At 34.8% G+C, this 22,086-nt stretch overlaps 1 protein-coding gene across 4 annotated transcripts in view; it reads left to right on the top strand.

The window, feature by feature from the left end:
- VAMP4 (vesicle associated membrane protein 4) overlaps positions 1–21,163 on the top strand; it is a 41,906-nt gene extending 20,743 nt beyond the window's left edge. The window contains exons 4-9 of one of the 4 annotated variants that reach the window (NR_033704.2): positions 2,102–2,152; positions 10,509–10,609; positions 11,579–11,658; positions 14,905–14,956; positions 16,789–16,936; positions 19,239–21,163. Coding sequence is in view for 3 of the 4 variants with exons in the window: in NM_003762.5 (NP_003753.2) it covers positions 2,102–2,152; positions 10,509–10,609; positions 11,579–11,658; positions 14,905–14,956; positions 16,789–16,817 (313 nt within the window). In the remaining variant the exon portion in view is untranslated. Of the gene's footprint in view, positions 1–2,101; positions 2,153–10,508; positions 10,610–11,522; positions 11,659–14,904; positions 14,957–16,788 lie in introns of those variants that run through there. The other 3 variants (NM_001185127.2, NM_003762.5, XM_047433375.1) reach the window with 3 other exon arrangements.
- Positions 21,164–22,086: the final 923 nt, after the last annotated feature.

The raw sequence follows: 22,086 nt of genomic DNA, 5'->3' as shown, positions 1-22,086 counted from the left end.
TATTAGCTTATTGCTCTGATTAGAACATCCAGCACAATATTGAGTAGAGGTGGTGAGAGGGAATATCCTTGCTTTGTTCCTGATCTCCTTTAGGGGAAGCATTCATCTTTCATATTATGTTTCATTTTCATTGCATGTTGTTACTGTTGTTGTGTGTAGATTTATCAGGTTGAAGAAGTTTCCTCCTATTCCTAGTTTGTGAAGAGTTTTTATCATTAGCTGACGTTGGATTTTGTCAAGCATTTATTTTGTATCTATTGAGATGATCATTTTTTTTGGTCTGTGAATGTGTTGAATTATGTTGATTTTGAAATTTTAAACCGTCGTTGCATTTGTGATATGAACCCTACTTGGTCATCATGTATTATTCTTTTAAAACATTGTTAGAATCAATTTGTTAAGAGTTTGTTAAGAATTTTTGCATCTATGTTCATTAGAGGTATTGGTTGGTTGATAGTTATGTCTTTTTCTTGTTGTGTCTTTATCTGGTTTTCGTGGTAGGTTCATACTGGCCCTGGATAATGAGTTGGGAAAGTTCTGTCTTTTTTAGTTTTCCAGAATAGTTTGCATAGAATTCTTATTTTTTCTTCATTAAATGTTTGGTAGAATTGACAACTGAACAAATCTAGTCCTGGAATTTTCTTTGGGGGATTTTTTAAAAATAATTTTAGACCCACAGAAGGGTTGCATAGATAGTATAGAGAGTTCCTATCTACGCTTCACTTAGCTTCTGTTAATAAATCTTATATAACCATGGTACATTTGTCTGTAGTGATGTTCACTCTTCCATTCCTGTTACTAATTTATGCCTTCTTTCTTTTTTTCCTAATCAGTCTGGCTAGAAGTTTATCAAGTTTTAATTTTCAAAGAACCAGCTTTTCATTTTGTGTTTTTCTATAAGTATTTTGAAGTCTCATGTTACTTGATAGATGAAACAGACATAGCTCCTGCTTTTTTTTTAACCTGTAGTGGGGATCATTTTAATTCAGTACTTTTCAGATTCTATTTCACTTTATAGTTTCCTCATTTAATGACTGCTTTTCTTTGTTTTTCGGTTGACCAGCTCTTGTAAGTTCTTGCCTAGTTTTTAGGAATGGCCTCTGGTTCAGAATATTAGTTTTCTCTATGAAATTCAATGTTTAACATCACTTTGGAATGGAATACTGTTCCAGTATTCTGAGGCTTAGTTGGAGCTTAAAAGACTTTAAGGAAAAAGCTTAGAGGAACTAAGGCAAGATGATATATTCACACTTATACATTATGTTAAATAAGTTTCAGTAAACAGTTTTTTTTTCCAAAATTTTTTTATCAATTGCTGTATTTTTTCACCTCCTTTAGAAATTGCCATGTCTAGAAATCTAAGAACCTGGTTTCTTTTGAGTTTTGTAGTTTATGTCTTATTTATTCTGTATCTCCGGAAGAATCATGATTACTTTAAATAACCAAATGTTTTCATTTCAAGAATATTAAAATGGATTGGTTAAGGTGTGATATACACTCAACTACAATAAGGAGATAATAATCTGAGTAATGTTAAAATTTTCTTAATATCTTGCATTTCCCTTTTGCTATGTTGATAAGTTTAAGATGAATAATCAAAAACATACTTAAAATTGTTAGTGTCTTCAATGAATTTTTCTCTATATCCATCTTTGTCAATCGGCAGTTCACTTTGTAGTTTCCTCATTTCATTATAGTCTAAATTCAAGATGAATTGCGCTTTTAGTTCTACAGTTGACCATAAAGATATTAATATTCACTAGCAGTTAAGTAGTTAGGATATTTCAGAGTTTAATGATCAGAACAAATTCTGTGTAAGTTTGTTATATAAGATAATATAAACCCTAATTTCTCTGAAAGTTTTAACATGCAGAAGAATTAGCTTAATTGTGGCTAGTAATAAGTGCCAATGAAGTAAAGACATGATTACCTATTATTCAGTTTCACCAGTATCAGTAAAATGTGGTCCCTTATGATAAATAACTGATCCATGTTTAGAGTTCAGCTTGATTGTTTGTATTTGTGTATACTTTCTATCTTTTTTTTGTTTTGTTTTAATCCTGTCACTACTAATATGTACTTGGTATGTACTTGTTTTCAGAAGGGGACCATCTGGACCAAGATTTGGACCTAGAAATGATAAAATTAAGCAGTAAGTTTTGTTCATTTGTTTAAATGATAATCATATTTCTGTGTAGACTAGAGATTGGCAAACTGCAGCCTGTGAGCCAAATCTGGCTGCAGCCTGTTTTTGTAAATAAAGTTTTATTGGAACATAGCCATGCCCATTTGTTTTCATATTATCGATAGGTACTTTCAAGCTACAATGGCAAAGTTGAGTAGTTGTGACAAAGCTGTGTCACATTTTATGGCCCACAAAATCTAAAATATCTGCTGAGTGTCTGGTCCTTTACAGAAAAAGTTGTTGACCCCTGATGAAGACTAAATATAACTGCTGGGTTATAAAAACCTAATTCATTTTATTTTCTCAGAATTATAGCTAAGGAAATGCAGGATTGTTGGTTTTTTTATGACTTGATTACCTTATGTCAAATCCATTTATTTAGCATAGTCTGAAGGTCTATTTTGGTTTTAAATCTGTAGCTTGATTCCTATTTTCAGAATGATAACAAAGGTAATATAATAGCTTTAATTTGTTGATGTACTGCATGTTTTTATCTACTTCCAGAATTTTTTCATATCTCTTATTTATCATAACCCATATATTGAACTAAGTTTTATGGCTAATTTGTGGTTTAAAACCTTTGAGGTATATATTATTTGGTGATAGATGAGTATAATATGCTGTAATCAATGTGTCTGATATCGGAAAGATATGAGTCCTGACTGGAGGGGAGAAGGAATAGACAGAGCAGTGAGTCACTTGAGGGAAGGCTCTGGAAACTGACCAAGCTGTAAAGACTAACTGTGGAATGTGAACTGCATGGCCCAGGTTCAAGACCTAAGGAGGGATAATAGTCACTACCCTAAGCCTGGGTATAGATGGCACATTGTGGGAAGGGTTCTATAATGAAGTATCTAGTTATTGGTGAGATACTTGGGCTTTACTCAGGTAGCTGTTGGTGTGAAGAAATATTTCCATACTTAGCCTAATTCTAACTAATGGATTTTGAGATATGGAACCAAAGAACCAATAAATGATTACAGGTACTAGACTGGGTGTATTAGTTTTCTATTGCCATGTAACAAATTACCATAAACTTAGCAGCTTAAAACAACACACATTTATCATCTCACAGTTTCCTTGGGTCAGGAGTTCAGGCACTTCTTAGGTGAGCCTTTTGCTCAGGTTTAACAAGATGGCAATCAGGGTATCACCAGGTATGACCAACTCAGGAAGTTATCAGAATTTATTTCCTGCAGCTATAGATGTCATGGTGCTTCTTTGAGGCCAGTAGAAGAGAGAATCTGTACTGTTTCAAGTCTCTTATTTGACTAAAGATACAACAAGCCACTTTTAGATGCAATTTATTACTTATATAGTAAAAGGAAGAGTAGCCAAAGTTAGTAGCTCTCAGGGTCATTGTCCTGCACACCAAAAATAATGATACAGCTGGGTGCAGTGTTTCACGCCTGTAATCCCAGCACTTTGGGATTCTCCTTCAAAGGAGGATTGTTTGAAGCCAAAAGTTTTGAGACCAGCCTGAGCAACAAAGTGAAACCCCCTTCTCTTAAAAAAAAAAGGGGAGGTCAATGGCTGCAGTACAAATTGTGGGATACTCTATTGCAAAGGAGCTATTTCTAGGCTGTGGTTTTTATAGTCTGCACATAGAGCCTGCAGAAAGTTTATACCGCATCAGAACCTGGGAGGTGATAAGAAACTGCCTTATGATAGTCTCATAAGGGAAACAGGGAGGTGGATGGAAGAAGACCTCATGAGCCACTCATTCTCTCATGTTCCAGGGAGATCACAAGCATTCTACCAGGACTCAAATTAGCTGTAGTTCAAGCCTGTGTGGCATATGTGGATGCCAATGTGTAATGTCTGAACCATTCTCCTGCACTGAGCCAGAATGACTTCTTTATCCACTCACATGTTCTCTTTTGCCTAAGCTGCCACTGGAGAAGAGGCCTCCACTGATGACACACCTATTTTTTGTCCTGCCAGTATGCTCTGTTTCCTGTCTGATATCCTTCTGAAGAGTGAACCTAGTAAGGGATGTTGCCGATTGGGGTCTTTTGAGTATGATTTTCCAGCTGAATCCCCAAACCACCACCAGTTGTACAGAGTAGGCATTAAAGAATATATGTCTATGTTAATGAATGCCAAACATACACACATGAATTTGTATATTTATGTATTACACTATTAATATCACAATAACTTTGGTGATCACAGAATTTTAGAATAGTAAGGGATTGTTAAGTATAGCGTTTTTTACTCTAGAGCTGAAAGCTTGCTGGATTTAGTTAGAATAAGGTCGTTCATCAAGCATGCATTAAACCTTGATTAATGCTTATCTAAGCAGGGCATGACTCACCAGTGTGCCCAAGATGGAGGAGCACAACTTGCCACACAACTTACCCAATGACAAATCCCTGGCGTTATTTTAGTACCCAAAATTGCTAGCACTGGTCAGTTTCTTTACTTAAGCTGTTATCACCACTTAATTTATAACATTTCAATACAGAGTGTTTCCTACTGCATAGATTAGCAACATCATTGCTTTCTTTGAACTTCATTAGCCACATTTATTAGTGTTGATAACAGATTAATCCTACAAAAAATACTTGACATCACTTCTTAGGAAAGACTCTTTTTGAGGACAATTTTTAAATATTCATATGTCTACATAAAATTTATGCTTCTCTTTGGAATGTTTCCTTTGCTTTTTAAATTTTGTTTTGTTTTTAAAGAGAGTTTGTTCAAACATAAATTATGAGGATGGACCACCTGGAAATACCAGCTCCAAAGGAATGGAGTCAGCATTCCAGAGTAGAGAAGTTAAGGTTTCATTTATATAAGCAGACAGGAACTTTTAGCAGGATTACATTTCCTTTGCCTTTAAATTAAACAATAGCATTATAAATGCCACTGTAGTGAATTGTAGACATTCTGTGTTAGGAGTAGGGAATCTCCCAATTATAGTCTTGGTCAGACCAGCTTAACTTTTATGAGATTCCCTCCCCGACACCCCAGGGAATGTTCCATGGTGTAACAGCAATATATATGTAGTTGCAAAAATACAGCTTAACTTTAAAACTTCTTTTGTCAGCAGTACCTTAAAAGACCAGAAGATGGGGATATTAACTATGAAAATAAATATTTTCTTTCAGGGATTTTTGCTTTGTTTGTTTTTTGAAACAGGGTTTTGCTCCATCACCCAGGCTAGAGTGCAGTGGCACAGTCACAGCTCACTGCAGCCTCAAAATCCTGGGCTCAATTGATCCTTCCACCTCAGCTCCTGAGTAACTGGAAACTTCAGGCACGTGCCACCATGCTTGGCTAATTTCTTATAGAGACGGGGTTTCCCTATGTTGCCCAGACTGGTCTCAAACTCCTGGACTCAAGGGATCCTCCCACTTCAGTCTCCCAGAATGCTAGGATTGCAGGTGTGAGCCACTGCACCTGGCCAGTGTTTTCTTTATAAAATAAGGGGTGCGTATTGCAGAGCATGAATTTGTTTCTTAATCGAAGGGCACTGACATTTATCAAGTATGTGCTATGTGTTGGGCACTATGCTAAGTGTTTGAATAACACTATCTCATTTAATTCTCACAAGTAAAGTAGAGATTATCAGCTGCATTTTAAAGGTGAGAAAATGTTAGGCTAAAACAGGCTTCCAAGGTGAATTCCAAAGTCACATACGTAGTAAGGGATAAAGTTGTATTGCAAACCCAGGTTTGTCTGAATACAGAACCCAGGGGCTCTACATTATACCATACAGCTTCTCTGTTGGTAATTAGAATAGAGCCATTTCAGAAATACAGGTGCCGTCAGACTCTAAGAGGATTTAAAACAGTATTGGAAATGTCTTTTCCTCATTGTGTTCTCTCTCATGTCTTTTATTATCTTATATGAATAGCCTTTAACTGGCCATGATATAAAAATCTCCACCCTTCCTTCAGAAACTAGCTTTTCCTTTGCGTTCTTAATTTTTTATTTTAGTTAATAGCCATCGTCTACTACCAGTTAATTGCTCAAATTATAAATCTAGGAGTTGTCTACTCTTTTCCCAATTCCTTCACCCACATCCAGTTAATCTCCTAGTTCTTAAAATATTACCTCCTCTGACATATATTTCCTTATCCTAGAACTTTCTCACCATCCACTGCCTCTTTTACTCTGCCTGATTAACTCTTGACTCCTCAAAACTCAGCACAGGGGTCTTGATGTCATCTCTGGTCCAGGCTGAATTCATCAAGGCTACATGACTGATACTATGGGCTTCCTTCTATTATATCCCTTAACACATGGTAGTATATGGATATCAGTTTTCCCTACTGGAGTATAATCTTTCTAAATACCAGGCTCATAACCTTCATGATGATAACCTTGATGAATAGCATAATAATAACTTTTTTTTTCTTAGACACAGGTTCTCACTCTTGTCACCCAGGCTGGAGTGCAGTGGTATAGTCTTGGCTCACTGTAGCCTCCACCTCCCGGAGGAGGATCCTCCCACCTCAGCTTCCTGAGCAGCTGAGACTACAGGTGCACACCACCATGCTCGGCTAATTTTTGTATTTTTTGTAGAGACAGGGTTTTGCCATGTTGGCGAGTCTGGTCTCAAACTCCTGGGCTCAAGCGATCCTCCTGCCTCAGCCTCCCAAAGTGCTGGGATTACAGCCCTGAGCCACCACACCTAGCCATAACTTTTTAATGTTTTTTGAATGAATGATATATTTAATTCAGATTTGAAAATATTTGTTAAATGCTTACTTTGTACCAGCCACATTTCACTTGACCTGGGAAATTAAAGAATAAGTGGGTTAGTCTCTGTTTTTAAGGCATTTATAGTATAACAATGGGGACAAGACCAATGTGAAATACAAATAGAAATCAAAGGACTATAACTATTGTGAAAATGTAAAAGATCATGGGGAAGTATGTTATCACTTGCTTTGTAAACCAAACTATCTCCATATTAAAGTAAATAAGCAGATCATTTTCTTTCTTCTACAAAAATTGTGTTCTGGGTAGGGAAACATCCTGAAACACAAAAACAATCATGAGATTTTACATCATTGAGTGAAGGTTACATAGTAGCTGGATTCAGAGTGTTACACCAGCAGATAATTAATGTGTGAAGGACAAAGCAGCAATAACTCACTAATAGTGTAGCAGAAAAATTAAAATATTTGCGGTTTCCATTATCAATAGTGATTTATTACATGTGTGCCATGTTGTTGAGGGAATACTTGTAGGTTTATGATACTCTAGTAAGAATCTAGAATTTTATTGGTTCTGTCCCAATTAATCTGCCTATATCCATGGAATCTTATCCTTAAAGGGTTATGTTTTTTTTCCTTTGAGACAGATCTCTATTGCTAAGGCTGAAGTGCAGTGGTGCAATCACAGTTCACTGCACCTTAACCTCCTGGGCTCAAGGAAATCTCCCACCGCAGCCTCCCAAGTGGCTAGGACCACAGGCACATGCCACCATAACCAGCTTATTTTTAAATTTTTTTGTAAAGACAAGGGCTCACTCTGTTGCCTAGCCTGGTCTCAAACTCCCAGGCTCAGGGGATCCTTCCACCTTGGCCTCCCAAAGTGTTGAGATTACAGGCATGAACCACCAGGCCTGGCCTTTAAAGAGATTCTGGGACCATAATTATTTTATTAGCTTTTTGTTTTCATTTTAAAAGTATATATAATGTCTACGGCCATACCACCCTGAATGCGCCCGATCTCGTCTAAGAGTACGTATAGTATACATATATTAATATCCATAATAGCTATAATCTGATCGTGTATAGGAGCCTTAGTACATTTTATTCATTCCCTTCCTGCTATAGCACCCTACTTTAAGCCATTAATTATCGTCACTTGCATATGACAAAAAAAAAAAGCTGGCTGGGAATTTCAAAATTGATCCTTGATGAACAGTAGCTTTGCTTTTGTTTGTAGTTAAATGGAGGGCTCTACAGTCACTGCTTTATATCTCCTCCTCAAGTAGCTGGATATGCTTTATAGGATTTATACTCAAACTGTTCATTTATTTAGCAAATATTTATTGAATGGCCACTCTGCCCCATGCACCACTATAGGTACTGGACTTACAAAAGTGAACAAAATAGGCAAGGTCACTGCATTCATTGAGCTTACCTTCTAGTGGGGAGAGGCAGAAAATAAGCATGTAAATAAGTAAATAGGTACAATTACTATTACTTTATATTTGCTTACATGCTATAAATAAAATAGAGTAATGGGGTAAAGCATGCTGTTTCACAGCTATAAGGTTAATACAGTGCATTCAACATAATATGTTCCATAAGGGCTGGGATTATCATCTGTTTTGTTCAATGTTATTTCCTCAGTACCTAAAACAGTACATAGTAGGTTCTCATTATTTGCTGAATAAATTGATTAGTTGTGTATTTGTGCCATTGTTCTTAAATAGGATGAACACCTTTAACTCTCTACTTAGGGGATTAGGAGTTGCAACAAGATGTCTTAGAGATTTAGGGGTTCTTTCAGATTTGTTTGGGCAGAAGAGAATTCTGCATGCCCAACTTTGTTGAGCTTCAGTCTTATATCCTCCAGTGGAATAATGTGTGGGAAGCACAGAACTCTGGGATGCTGTGAAAAATCTTGAAGTTTATGTGTGGGTAATCAGTGGGTGTACATAATGCTTTTAACATGGGAGGGAAGTGACTGTCATCAAGCTTAGTAATTGCTACTTGAATCTGAGAGTACTTCTGAATCCACCTATGTCTAAGTGGGCCTTCATTTTGTTTTTATAGCAAACTTTTTGAAGAACTAGCTCAGTGATCGGAAAGGATAGAACTCTTTCAAAATTAAACATGACTGTGCCTCACCCCTCACTTACTACATTAGTTTGGGGAGTTGTGTGGGGTAGAGGGCGGAGACCATATTTGTGTATTGTAAAAAATTTTTAAAGCCCCCTACACACTTCTTCCTTTTCCAAGTAGAAACACAATTGCATATCTACATCTATTTAAATATATATACATTTAATGTTTATAACCATCATGGACCCTTAATGACAGGCTATGTTTGGAGAAATGCATCATTAAGCAGTTTCATTGTGTGAACATCATAGAGTAGTATACTTACACAAACCTACATGGTGTAGTCTGCTACACACCTAGGCTATATGGTATGGCTTATAGCTCCTAAGCTACAAACCCGTACAGCATGTGACTGCACTGAATACTGTAGGTAATTATAACACAATGGTAAATATCTGTATGTCTAAACATATCTAAACGTAGAAAACATGCAGTAAAAATATGGTATTATAACTTATGGGACCAGTGTTGTAAAAGTGCTTTGTCATTAACCAAAATGTTATGCAGTACATGTCTGTAGTCGCTAGTAATCCAATGCACTTTAAACAGTGTTTAGTATGAGGACCATGGATTTGCTTTATTTCTCCTTTTAAATATTTCATTGTTGTGACTTATTTCGTAAAGTAATTTAAAATAATTTTTGTGGTTAGAGCAACAGAGGAGAATAAGACACTTAAAATAATTAAACATGTCCATGTTTGTATACTCTGGAGGTAACTCCTGAATGAGAGTAGATAGCTGAGGACAGTTATTACAATTTTAAGTTTAGGTTAAGTCTTTATTGAACAGCCTGAAATTTGGTTAAAACAGGCCCCCATCATCTAATATAAAGGATGAACAAACAATCGAAAAACAGAAAACAATTTTTTCCTTTTTGCTTCCTGGTGGGTACTTCAAAATATTCCCAGGTGTCCCCAGTTGTCTTATATCCTGTTTAAGAAAAATCTGATGAGCAGTGAAGAATTCTACCCATTGAGCATCAGTATCTCTTAGAATATGCCCTACATTTCCATTTTGGAAACTAGGTATGTTTCATAAGCCTTTACCTTACCTGAGCAAAAGGTATGTTAAAAAGTATGTTAAGGTACCTCCTTTGTTAGCCTTCATGTATGAAATATATGGCAAAAGTAGGCTACAGCGGTGTCTATGTGCTGCCTCAATAGCCTGTTGAAAAGAAAAACTGATTATTTTTAGTGAAGCTGTTTAACTAAATTCTGTACTTAACGGGCATGCTGACAGTACATTTAACTTGCTTATGAGTTACAAGTCAGAAGCAGGGCTAAAAGTAAGCTATCTTTAAATATTACTTTAATTTATATCATATTGTCTTTCATTATCTGAGTACTGAAGCCCACAAATGGAAGAACATTGCTACAAAGTCTTAAATTTAAATTTTATAGTTGAATAATTCTCTGAGAATTTGCTATTCTTTATTATGTCTAATGAAAGTTTTAAAAATTGTAAGCATTCTCAAAAGAAGGATAAATAATTGTGTATCTTTTTTAAACTAGTGTTCAGAATCAAGTGGATGAAGTTATTGATGTCATGCAAGAAAATATTACAAAGGTAATTGAGAGAGGGGAGAGACTAGATGAACTACAGGACAAATCAGGTACAGATCTTCATGTATTTCTTGATATTACTAATCTGTTTGCTAGTTTTTGTCTTCTACTTGTCTAGCCAACGTTTACAAATCTTGGCTTAGGAAATTGGCATTTGGTTCTTAAGTATATGATTTTAATGGTTTAATTTTAACTCCTTTACTTTGAGTCATCTTATTGTTTCATTATTTTTTAATTGTTCAGTGGAGAATGAAGAATTTAAAATTTCATTGTTGAAGAGTGAAGAGTAGAGCTGTTTTTTCTTTTGCCCTGTGATATTGATGAACTTTGTGTTTCTCATGATCTCAGGGCCTAAAGACCTACTCACTTTTCAACACTTGTTTCAAACTTATCTGCTATTTTTATTTTATGTTTTATTTGGTAACTTAGTCACCTTTCTTTACTTTCAGTCATTACACCTATAACCTATACCTATACCTATACCTATACCTGGCACGTACTTGCCACTCAAATATTGTTTGGTGAATGGCTGAATACCTGATTAATCTTTGACAGACTTTAGAAAAAAAAAAAACACCTCGCTTAGTCACATTTAAAATGTATATTGTTTTCCTTTAAAATCAGTCACTTTTGATATCTTCTAAGAAGCTAACTTCTCAACATGTAATTTTTTTTCTAGAGGTGTGCCAAGTATTTGAATTTTTAAAGAGTATTTTTCTTACTAGATTTCCTAAGTTTATTTATAAGCATTAAGGCCCTAAAAAGACTTTTCTTAATTTTATAATAAAAAAGAAGTGAGCAAACTGATCTGCAAGCTGTTTTTTGCTTTTTGTTTTCATTTTTTTAATAATGTAGAATGCCAGAGTTTGTGGGTGGAAAAAAGGGAGAATGCTGTTTTCATGCTTAAAAGGGAATAAATTTGCAGAAGTAGAAATTAATATTTTCTTATCTTTGTGTGACTAGATAAAAGAATCCTGTTATGTCGTTTAATCCTTCTCTCCATCCTCTATGTGATATAGAAAGCTTATCGGATAATGCAACAGCTTTTAGCAACAGATCCAAACAACTTCGAAGGCAAATGTGGTGGCGTGGATGCAAAGTAAGTAAATCAGAAGCTACTGGATAGACTGGTCAGCATCTGAAGTGGTATTCAAACACATGAAGAAAAAAGGGCCTCTAGAGCATAACCTCTGTGAGAACAGGGCCTATAACTGTCCTGAGACATGGTAGAAATTCAGTAAATACTTGTTAACTTAATTGCTTTTGGGATAGGGATAACTAAATAAATCAGTATGCCTAAAAGGATGTTTTCATAGATTTTTTTAATGAAAGTAATCCACATTTTATTAATATTTGACTACCTCTAAACTTATTAACTTAAAACAAATATACATTTTTTCTTGAAATTTACTATTAATACTTTTTTGGAGCAACCTCTATAGCATTATGTAGAGATATCAAAAGTAGGAGCTAGAGAAAAATATGACTTTCGGTTGAAAGGGTAAAAAATAAAAGCTTACATATCCGAATCTGTTAAGACAAATGGAGTTAAGAAAAAACTCCACTTCCCTCATTATTCCAGAAAAATAAAAAGTAAAAGAAATTTTTACCATTTTTAACAAGGTAAACATTGGAATCACTACATACTAATATATACTCCTGCAAAACATTGTATAGAAATACATTTACTTCTTAAATCCACTGTGGCTACTAATCATTAACAGAAAATGTTTTTCACGTTATATGAGCAAATCTTTTTTTTTTTTCTCCTGATTCTAGTTATAATTTTTGGCTTTGTTTAAAATTTAGACATGAACTCACTGTTTTTAGTCTCTCATTTTCAATTTCAAGTTTAGCAATAACTCTCCTTTTTTTTTTTTTTTTTTTCTTTGAGATAGAGTTTTGCTCTTGTTGTCCAGGCTGATCTCGGCTCACCACAATATCACCGCAACCTCTGCCTCCAGGGTTCAAGCGATTCTTCTGCCTCAGCCTCCTGAGTAGCTGGAATTACAGACATGTGCCACCATGCCCAGCTAATTTTGTTTTTTTTGTTTTTTTTTTTTTTAGTAGAGACGGGGTTTCTCCATGTTGGTCAGGCTGGTCTTGAACTCCTGACCTCAGGTGATCCACCTGCCTTGGCCTCCCAAAGTGCTGGGATTACAGGCATGAGCCACTGCACCAGCCAGCAATAACTTTCTAAACCTGACTTAGCCATATGCTGAGGATTTTTTCCAAGAGTTACCTTGGATTTATTTATTTTTATTTGTCTACCTATTGAATCGTCCTACTTTCAGAAGTGGAACTGAGGGAAGAAATATGTTTCATTTCTCCCCTTGTTCAGAATTTAAATTTTCTATTCTATTTTAAGTTATTTATTCTTTAAAGAATAAATTTATTTTCTTTAAAGTCTTTTTTTTTTTTTTTTTGTGGCACTCTTGCTGTGTCTCTGAGGCTGGAGTGCAGTGGCACAATCTTGGCTCACTGCAACCTCTGCCTCCTAGGTTCAAGTGATTCTCATGCCTCAGCCTCCTAAGTAGCCCAGGTTCAAGCGATTCTCCTGCCTTAGTCTCCCGAGTAGCTGGAATTACAGGCATGCACCACCACACCTGGCTAATTTTTGTATTTTTAGTAGAGACGGGGTTTCACTATGTTGGCCAGGCTGGTCTTGAACTTCTGGCCTCGAGCAATCTGCCCACCTCAGCCTCCCAAAGTGCTGGATTACAGGCATGAGCCACCACACTTTGCCTAAAGCTTCTATATCTATAGAAATTTTCTATTCTGTGGGCTAATTTAGAAAAACAAAAAGTCCATGAGCCACTCACCCCTTCTCTCTCCCAAACTCATGTACCCTATTCATGTATCCACAAAAAGATGGTCATAATGTACATTTTGCCTAGCTTTTTTTTTAACCATTGCTAAAAATGTTTGCTTTGTACTTTATGGGGTTTGGGTCAGAGGAATAGCGTGCTTTTAAGGAGGAAAAACATTGAGTCATATTTTTAAATAGTCATCACCTTGAGAACCTCTGGGGACCATGAATAGCATCGACCATGTAATGAAAATCATTGTTCCATAATGTAACAAACACCATTTACAGTAGCGAGTATTCTTCATTTATTATTTTCTAATGCTTAGCTTCCTTCAGTTTTACTGTGCCCCATTAATACTTCATTGTGCTACTGTTCATCTGGGGCAGCCTCCCTGTGCCTGCCATTTTCTAGATTGACTTCCATAATGGTAATTTCAGAAGGGTTTTAAGAAAAAGGATATAAGGGCAGAACGCAGATCAGGAGTTGCCAGTGGCTAAGGGGGATGTCGTGCAGTTGGAGACTCACAACAGGTCATGAGGAAACTTGTTAAGGGTGTTGGTGGAAATGTCCTATATTTGATTGTGGTCATGTTTATTAACAGCTGGATATATTTGTCAAAACCTATCAAAAGTATTTTAAGAGGATAAGTTTTATTCTTTGTAAAGTGTATCTCAATATACCTGGCTTTAAAAATAAATGAGTTAATAAAATTATCCATAGGTGGGGAAAGAGAATCGCTAACACCTCTCTTAATATATCTGGGGGCTGTGAAACTCTTATATGTTTAATGACAAACAGATTTTTGTTCATGTTATTTGGAATAAGAGAGCTTTGGACTTGCATGAATACAATACTGCCATTTGGAGCTGTAAACATTTTCTGCCCAGTGTTAGAAACCCAAGGAAGAAAACTCTATTCATTGAGGTGTTTTAAAATTGATATTGATGTTTTCATTCAAATCTTCTTAAGTAAAGCCAAACACACGTTTAACAGGGCAAATTAATGTACATTTCAGGTAAAGTTGAAAAACTACCGTAGAAATTCCAAATTGTTTTAGAAATGCTTCAGATTAATAAAAAAGGCTTAAAGTACTTTATCATATAAACTGAACCTCTATGATTTGATGGGCTTATTACTAATGTGAGACCAGAGAAAATGTACAGTATTTTAGCAACTCTGTTCAAGTGTCAAGATATGATGAATAACATAGGCCATGCAATTCAAATGGTTCAATACATCGAAGGTAGCAGTTTATAGCACTTTTTTTCAAAGTATATGAGAATTCTGTTAGTTTTTTCTCCCCTTACTTTCTTCTTTGCATTTTTATCTCCATTTTGAGGAATATATTTTAGATTCTTTATGAATAGCCTCATGTAATAAGCAACTTTGCCTAAGAGCATTCTGTGTCAGTTTTGTAGTTAAGAAACCTTAAGGTGATGAGATGATTTAGTATGATGCAGTAAATAGAACAACAAATAGTCTTGACTTTATTAACAAGTCAAATATTAATATATATGCCCTTTTGTGTGTTGTAGATAAAAGCCATCATGGCTTTGGTTGCTGCTATCCTTTTGCTAGTGATTATCAGTAAGTATTTATTGGATTATTACTTCCTAGGGTATCATTTATTTTGGAGTTCATTTTAATTCCCTTTTATTTTCAGTTGACCTAGTATGTCTGAAGTCAGGATTGAATAATGACTTCTGACCTGTCTCAGGAGCTCTTAGAATCTATTGATCTCTGAAAATGCTCTTAAGTAATATGTAAAATTTTATGTGAATATGTATATGTACATTTTTATGGAGAGAGGGTCTATATCTTTTGTCAGATTCTCAAAGGGAACTCCTGTTCTGCCCCCAACCCTCACCCCCAAATCCAGGGCTAAGTGATTTGTTCAAGGCCAAATCTGGTTCCTATTACACTAAGGTCTAAAATACTCATTTTCTATTTATTATTAACTCTCAGGAATGGCAGTTTGCATTTTGTAATATTGTTTTGGAAGTATAAATCCAAATACGTTCTCCAGATGATTTTTTTTTGTTTGGTTTTTGTTTTGTTCTGTAGTTGAGCATAATTTCCATCATTAAAGCATGACTCCTTCCCGTCCTTTTTCCCTTAATGTTCTTTTAAAAATCAGATCATTTTAAATATCTCTTTTTCTTCAAGGCCTCTGCCTATGTTTACAGAGAGGTTTTATGACGCTTTGGAAAGTATCTAAAAATAATCATTTGAAAAATTATATTATGCTGTTATATTTTTAAACAGAAAAAAATGTTTTGTTACAAAGAAATACAGTCAGTCCTCATTATTCATAGATTCCGTGTTTGCAAATCCAGTTACCAGGTAAAATTTATTTGTAACCCCAAAATCAGTACTCATGGTGCTTTCACAGTCATTTACAGACATTTTCAGAGTAACAAAAAATTGTAAGTCCCCCAACCCACACATCCCTAGCTGAGGTTAAACAAAGCCATTTCTGCCTTTTTATTTCAGCACTCATAACATAAACATTCTTTTTGTAGTCTATTTAGTACCACATTTTCTGCATTGTTGTGCTTTTTGTTGGTGATTTCACTGTTTAAAATGGTCCCCACACGTGGTGCTGAAGTGCTGTCTAGTGTTGCTCAGTACAAGAGAGCTGTGATGTGTCTTCATGGAAAAAATACACATTAGGCAAACTTTTGTTCAGGCATGAATTATAGTGCTGTTGGCCTTGAGCACAGTGTTACTGAATCAATAATACATATTAAATAAAGTGTCTTTAAACAGAAACACATATAAACCAAGGTTATGCATTGATTGACAAAAATGTAGTAGCCAGAGACTCACAGGAACTTAACCCTATATTTTCCCTAGAAGCAGTGGTTCCATATTCACTAATTTAGTGTTTGTAGTGACCTTATAGAAAATAATTACCTCAGAAACCAAGAATCAATCATGTATATATAGTGAGCAATTGGAAAATGTGAAATATTAATAACAAAAAGAAGAAAAATTCAACTATAATCTTACAATTAGTAGAGATAGCTACTAATATAACTATTATATATACTTCTCTTTTCCTATTAATATACAAGCATGTTTTTTAAAAAACTAAGACTATATTATATGTACTTTCTAATAAATATATTGTGACTATTATCCCAGGTTATCAAAATTTTTAGTAATATTTTAACAGCAGATACAAGCTATGGCTATGCCATTATTTATTTAAGATGCCAATGTTAGACATTTAGGTTGTTTTATGATATTTTTTGCTTCTCCTTTCCCATTGATTATTTATTACCTCAGATAAAAGTTCAGTCAATCCTCATTACCCATTTCTAAAAGTAGACACAACTACATTTAGGAATATTGCTTCAAACATAGCATATATATCTGATGTTGATATATTGCTTTTTTCATGTTTTCTCTTACAGTTCTTATAGTCATGAAATACCGTACTTGATTTGATGACAGAGATCTTCATTAAACAAGATCTGGGACAGTAATAAAAGATTGCTGCATAATTTAAATGAAACCTATGTGTATATAACTTTCAAAACTTCTTTTTCAAGAAACTAAGAGGCAAGTATCACTTCAAATTGGAACGTTGAGAATGTCCAATTATCTTCTCCCTTTCTAACAAAATGTTCTTTTAATAATTATGTTTAAGGCAAAGAGAACTAGCCTCTATTTTTCCATATTTCAAGGATCTAATTTGAAACTAGATACTTGCCAGTTCATTATTTGTGTATATAAACACTGATTATAATATTTCATATTAATATTTTAATGGCATAAGGACTTGCATTATTGCATTAGGGAGCGGGTCATGCTGGGGGTCAGGAAGCCTGTGTAGAGTACCAAATTATATGCTGAAAGAGATGCATAACCATTCTGTCAATATTTGCAGAAATATAGTTCCTTTCATATTACAGTTGTTTTGCAAGCAATTTCCACATTTATAGGTGTAACAAAAGCTAAATGTTGTAAATGTTGTTGCCCTCAGGTATAACTAAAAACATTCCAGTAAATATATTTTTGACTGTGTAAGAGAATGTGTAGTAATTTTTTTGGCATTGGATTATGGAAATGGAAATTTTTAAACAGTGTGAAAAAACATGGTATGGCATCATAAAACTGGAGATAATAAAGTTATTGAAGAGTGTCATTGGAGTATTTGAAAATGACCAATATATAGCTGCCAGTCATGGTCCAGTCTGTTTTCTGTTAAACTCCAATAAAGAGAGACCAGTCAGTCCTAATGTGAGTAAATGAAATTTACAGGTAACTTACTTACTCCTTAATTTTATTTTAGTTAATAGCCTCTAACTTCCAACTATCTCATTTACCAAAAGTACAAAAAGTAGCAAAACCATCTATTAATACTTTGAATTTTATATCTTTGCATTTCCTGTTCATCCTTGAGGAGATGTATGTTGCACAATCAAATTTTGCATCAGCCAACAGTAATGAGTAGTAGAAAGTCAGGAACCTATGTGTATATATATATATATATATATATATATATATATATATATATATACACACAAACACACACACACACACACACACACACGCACACATATGATAATCAGTCAGTCGGTAACCAAATGCTAGAGAGTGACCATTAACCTAAGCCTGTTTTTATAATGAAAAAATGTGTTAACTTTAAAATATGCCAACCTCCTTGTGTCTTTTAAACAAGTCAGAGTGAAAATACATTGTCCCCTAAGGTGTGGGGAGAGGAAGCTTTATAATAAAATTAGTGATTCTGCAGAAACTTGTGCACTGGATATCTTGACAATATGAATATAAAACTCCCTAAATTAAAAATAGGGTTAATAGAAATTATCAGTATTTAAATAGGGAAAAATGATTTTATGTTTATTTTATTTAGGTTTTATTTCTTTGGTCATCTTAATGCAAAATGAATAAAGCATAGAATCTGGGTTTGGTGTTTTTTTGTCTGTTTTTAAAATTCTACAGGATTATTACTAGGAGGCAAAAAATGCTGTTTAGAATGGAAAAAATTTGAAGAGAGAAAGCAGACTGAGACACTCAAGACACCTGCAAGTTATCTAAGAAGATCTAAATAGAATTACTAAATTTTATAGTTTGCTTAGAGCATTTAGAAGGAGATAAAGGTCTTACATACTATAGTGTATATTGTCTTTGGTCTCTATGCTCTTTGTAAATGTCAATTAATATAAACAGCATCTGAACAGCTAATAAATCTTTTAAGTTAAGATACCCAGAAAAATGAGCATTTTTAGAATTTCAGTAGCTAATAATTCAGGAATGGAAATATTTTAACTGAATGGACAGAATCAGTCCTAACATTTGTATGTATGTCCTTTATTTGAATTGGAACTAGGCTCATAAGTGGTTAATTTTCCATTAGTTGATGTAGAAATCTGGTTTCTCCATAATATCTACAAGTGAAGATGAAGATTACTTCTCAAAAAGTATCCATATTTCCAGTGTTCCTTTTAATAAAATATGCCACTTTTAAATAAATAATTACAAAATGTAAAATTATAAAATTTTTAAATTTAAATAATAAGTAACAGTAAAATTTTTTGACAATATATATGTCACTGTCTTTGTAATTTAAACATATTGCTGCCTGGGATATGGGTAACAGAATTATCACTCATGGAACTTTGTAGTAGTGATGGCTTGGTTTGTAATTCATCATTTCATCTTTCTTGGTCTTGATTAATCCTGAAATCCTTAAAATGGCTGGCATGGTTATGACTTTATTGTGGTAACCTTGGAGATATAAGCCCTCTTACGATCAAAAACAGAAGAAAAAAATATATTGTTCAAACTGATGCCAGGCCTACCTTTATTCCCTCCCTTAATTACTTTTTTTCTCATTCAGCTCAGATCATCCTGCACTTGAAAAATGAAGTTTTACCACCATCAAAACTATCATTATTTAACAACAAGTGAAGATCAACAGAAAAATTCAAGTAGCTTTGCAAATACTAGTTGATACTCAGTGAAATCACGTCACTATTTTGATGCCTGAATCCATACCTTTGTGATTTATGTTTAATTACAGAAGCCTATTGCCTTGCAGCAATTTTGTTGTTATAATACTGATTAATTGGTTACTCCTTCTTATTATAACTCAGTAATACCTGTGGTCATTTGGTTCCTCTATCCTGACAAAGTTCACTGGAAATTGCCCTCAGATTTTATAAACTGGGGGATTTCTTAATTAGATAAAAGTTCATTACTGAAGATGGAATATTATATAAGATGGAGGAAGGGTAATTAATAGACATGAGATATAGAAATACTTTGTTAGCCCTGCTATAGATTGCCTATTGTAGTCTTTCTGTGCATTTCAATAGTCTGTATTAGGAAATTATAACTTCAGCACTTTTGATAGCAAAAATTGGCATCTTTCAATTCTGTATAGTATGTGACTATCCTGTAAATGATAATATGTGTACAGACTGAGAAGGCAGGAATATAAAGTAATTGAAATCTCTCATTGCCGGTATACTCTAAAACATGCTTGATGCCTTGTCAGCATCATTGCACACATTGACTCTGTATTTACATCTGTATATACACTATGATTAGAAAATATGCAAGAAATTGTTTTTCCATGTTAAGAACAAATGCCATTAGAAGATGTCCCCTTAATTGTATTGTCAGAGTATTACTATGTCAAGGATGACTGTTCTGTTAACCTAATTTTGTGTTTTCACATGGAAATGTGATTGGACTCCATTTTTCTGTGAGTTGAGAGTAAGAGCATAAGTCAGTTTGAAAGCATTTACAAGTTTGTTTTAGAATGTAGTAAGGGCTGAAAGGTGCTCTACTTCTTAACTTGTTTTTTCCATGTTGTAGACAAATGAAATTTGTCTAAATGCTTTTGTCTAAAAATGCATTTGTCTAAATGCTTTAGATTGATGTAGGGTTTAGATCCTCTTTAATACTTTGAGATAGTCTTATTCTGATTTTTTTTTTCTTCTGGAAACCAAGTAGAATTAGGGATGGGAATACAAATGCATTTATTCTGGCTTCTGTTTTATTCCAAGAAGCTTCTTGGAACAAATCAGTAGGAATTGAAAAGAAAGCATGACCAACCCAATTACAGGGGATAAATGTAAGCTTGTTAAAGTAAGCACCACACCATGTTTCTGTCTCCCCAGCACCCAGCACAGTGCTGTGAACCTTGGCAGATGCTAGATAAATGTGTGTTGAATGAATGTGCCTATGAAGCCACAAAGATGCCACATGTTAGTATATCAGTGAGAGGTGACTCCACAGTGCTCTCTGGAGAAGCAATATGAGTGACTGAAGAGTGGGGCCTTTTGCTTTTGCCTGGATATAGGGGTGCTCTTCTACTGTAATTGGGTGTGGAAAAACTCTGGCTTTATGGTATTCCATTAGGTTCTTTTCATTTAAAGTAGTCTTAAAATCAAAGTATCCAATATTTTAAAGCCACAAAGTAGATTACATAATTAGCAGAGATTTTAGTCAGTAAAATGTTAGAAATCAAACTATAAGAAAATTCAAGTCCTTTATTTTGTGTCTTGGGTATATGTCATTATTTTAAATTCCACACTCCCTTATTTAATCACTTTGGTAAGTGCCTTTGATGTTTTGAAATGTATAGTGGGAGATGAGCAAATGTAAATGTCATGTGCCCTGTTCCCTAGCTTCTCAATTCCTCATAACCATTTTTACCAGTGTTGCAAAGTTTAGACCTTTGTGTTAATATCAGAAGTGTATTTGTAGCCCCTCCATAGTGAACAATGAAATAAACTATTTCATAGAAAACAAAAATTAAGCACTTTGGCTTATTCAATATGTGTTACCTGTTGCCTTAACTTCAAAGCATAGCTTATTTAACAATAACATCTGGATAATCACCCCTGATTTAATCTATCCTATTTTCCCAATAAAGTGCATGGAGGAAAAATAAGAAAAAGAAAAGGCATTCTTTCACCAAAAATTATGCCTGATACTGACAAAATCTAAGAAGAATTTCTTAGTGATTTTTAACTCAGTAAAGCAATGTCTTTACCTCAGTCCACAGTGTCTGTAGGAGAGGAAGGCAGGCAGTTTTCTCTTAAACTTACATGTCCCAATCAGAAAACCTGATCCTGTCCCTCAGCTGCCTGGTGCTTTAGGCAACCAGAGTAATGTTCATTCTCTCTAGCCTCCCTCCACCCACACACTAAACTGTGTCTTTTTGTTTTTGTTTCTGAGACAGGATCTTGTTCTGTCTCCCAGGCTGAAGTGCAGTGGTGCGATCACAACTCACTGCAGTCTCAGACTGCTGGGCTCAAGCAATCCTTCCACCTCAGTTCTCCCAAGTGGCTGGGACTACAGGCATGTACCACCATGCCCAGCTAATTTTTAAATTTTTTTTATAGACGGGGTCTTACTGTGTTACCCAGACTGGTCTCAAATTCCTAGACTCATGCTATCCTGCCTCAGCGTCCCAAAGTGCTACGATTACAGGTGTGAACCACCATACCAGGCCTTTATTGTCTTAATACTACAAAAAGCCATGGGAGGGGAGATGACATTGGAGGCACGTTGTACCCTGAGATAGTCTTCACAAATAAAGTGCTGTTGTTAGAAATGGAGACAGGAAGCAACCTGGTAAGGGCACTCTGAGAATGATGGTGTTTAATACAATCCACCATTCAACAGATGAGAGAACCGGGCAGGAAGATCAGATACTACCTAAATCCAACAGA

The sequence above is a fragment of the Homo sapiens genome, chromosome 1 (assembly GCF_000001405.40).
Source record: "Homo sapiens chromosome 1, GRCh38.p14 Primary Assembly".
Classification (NCBI taxonomy): Eukaryota; Metazoa; Chordata; class Mammalia; order Primates; family Hominidae; genus Homo; species Homo sapiens.
Note: the sequence above shows the minus strand (reverse complement) of the source record. Positions and strands in the feature narration are given on the sequence as shown.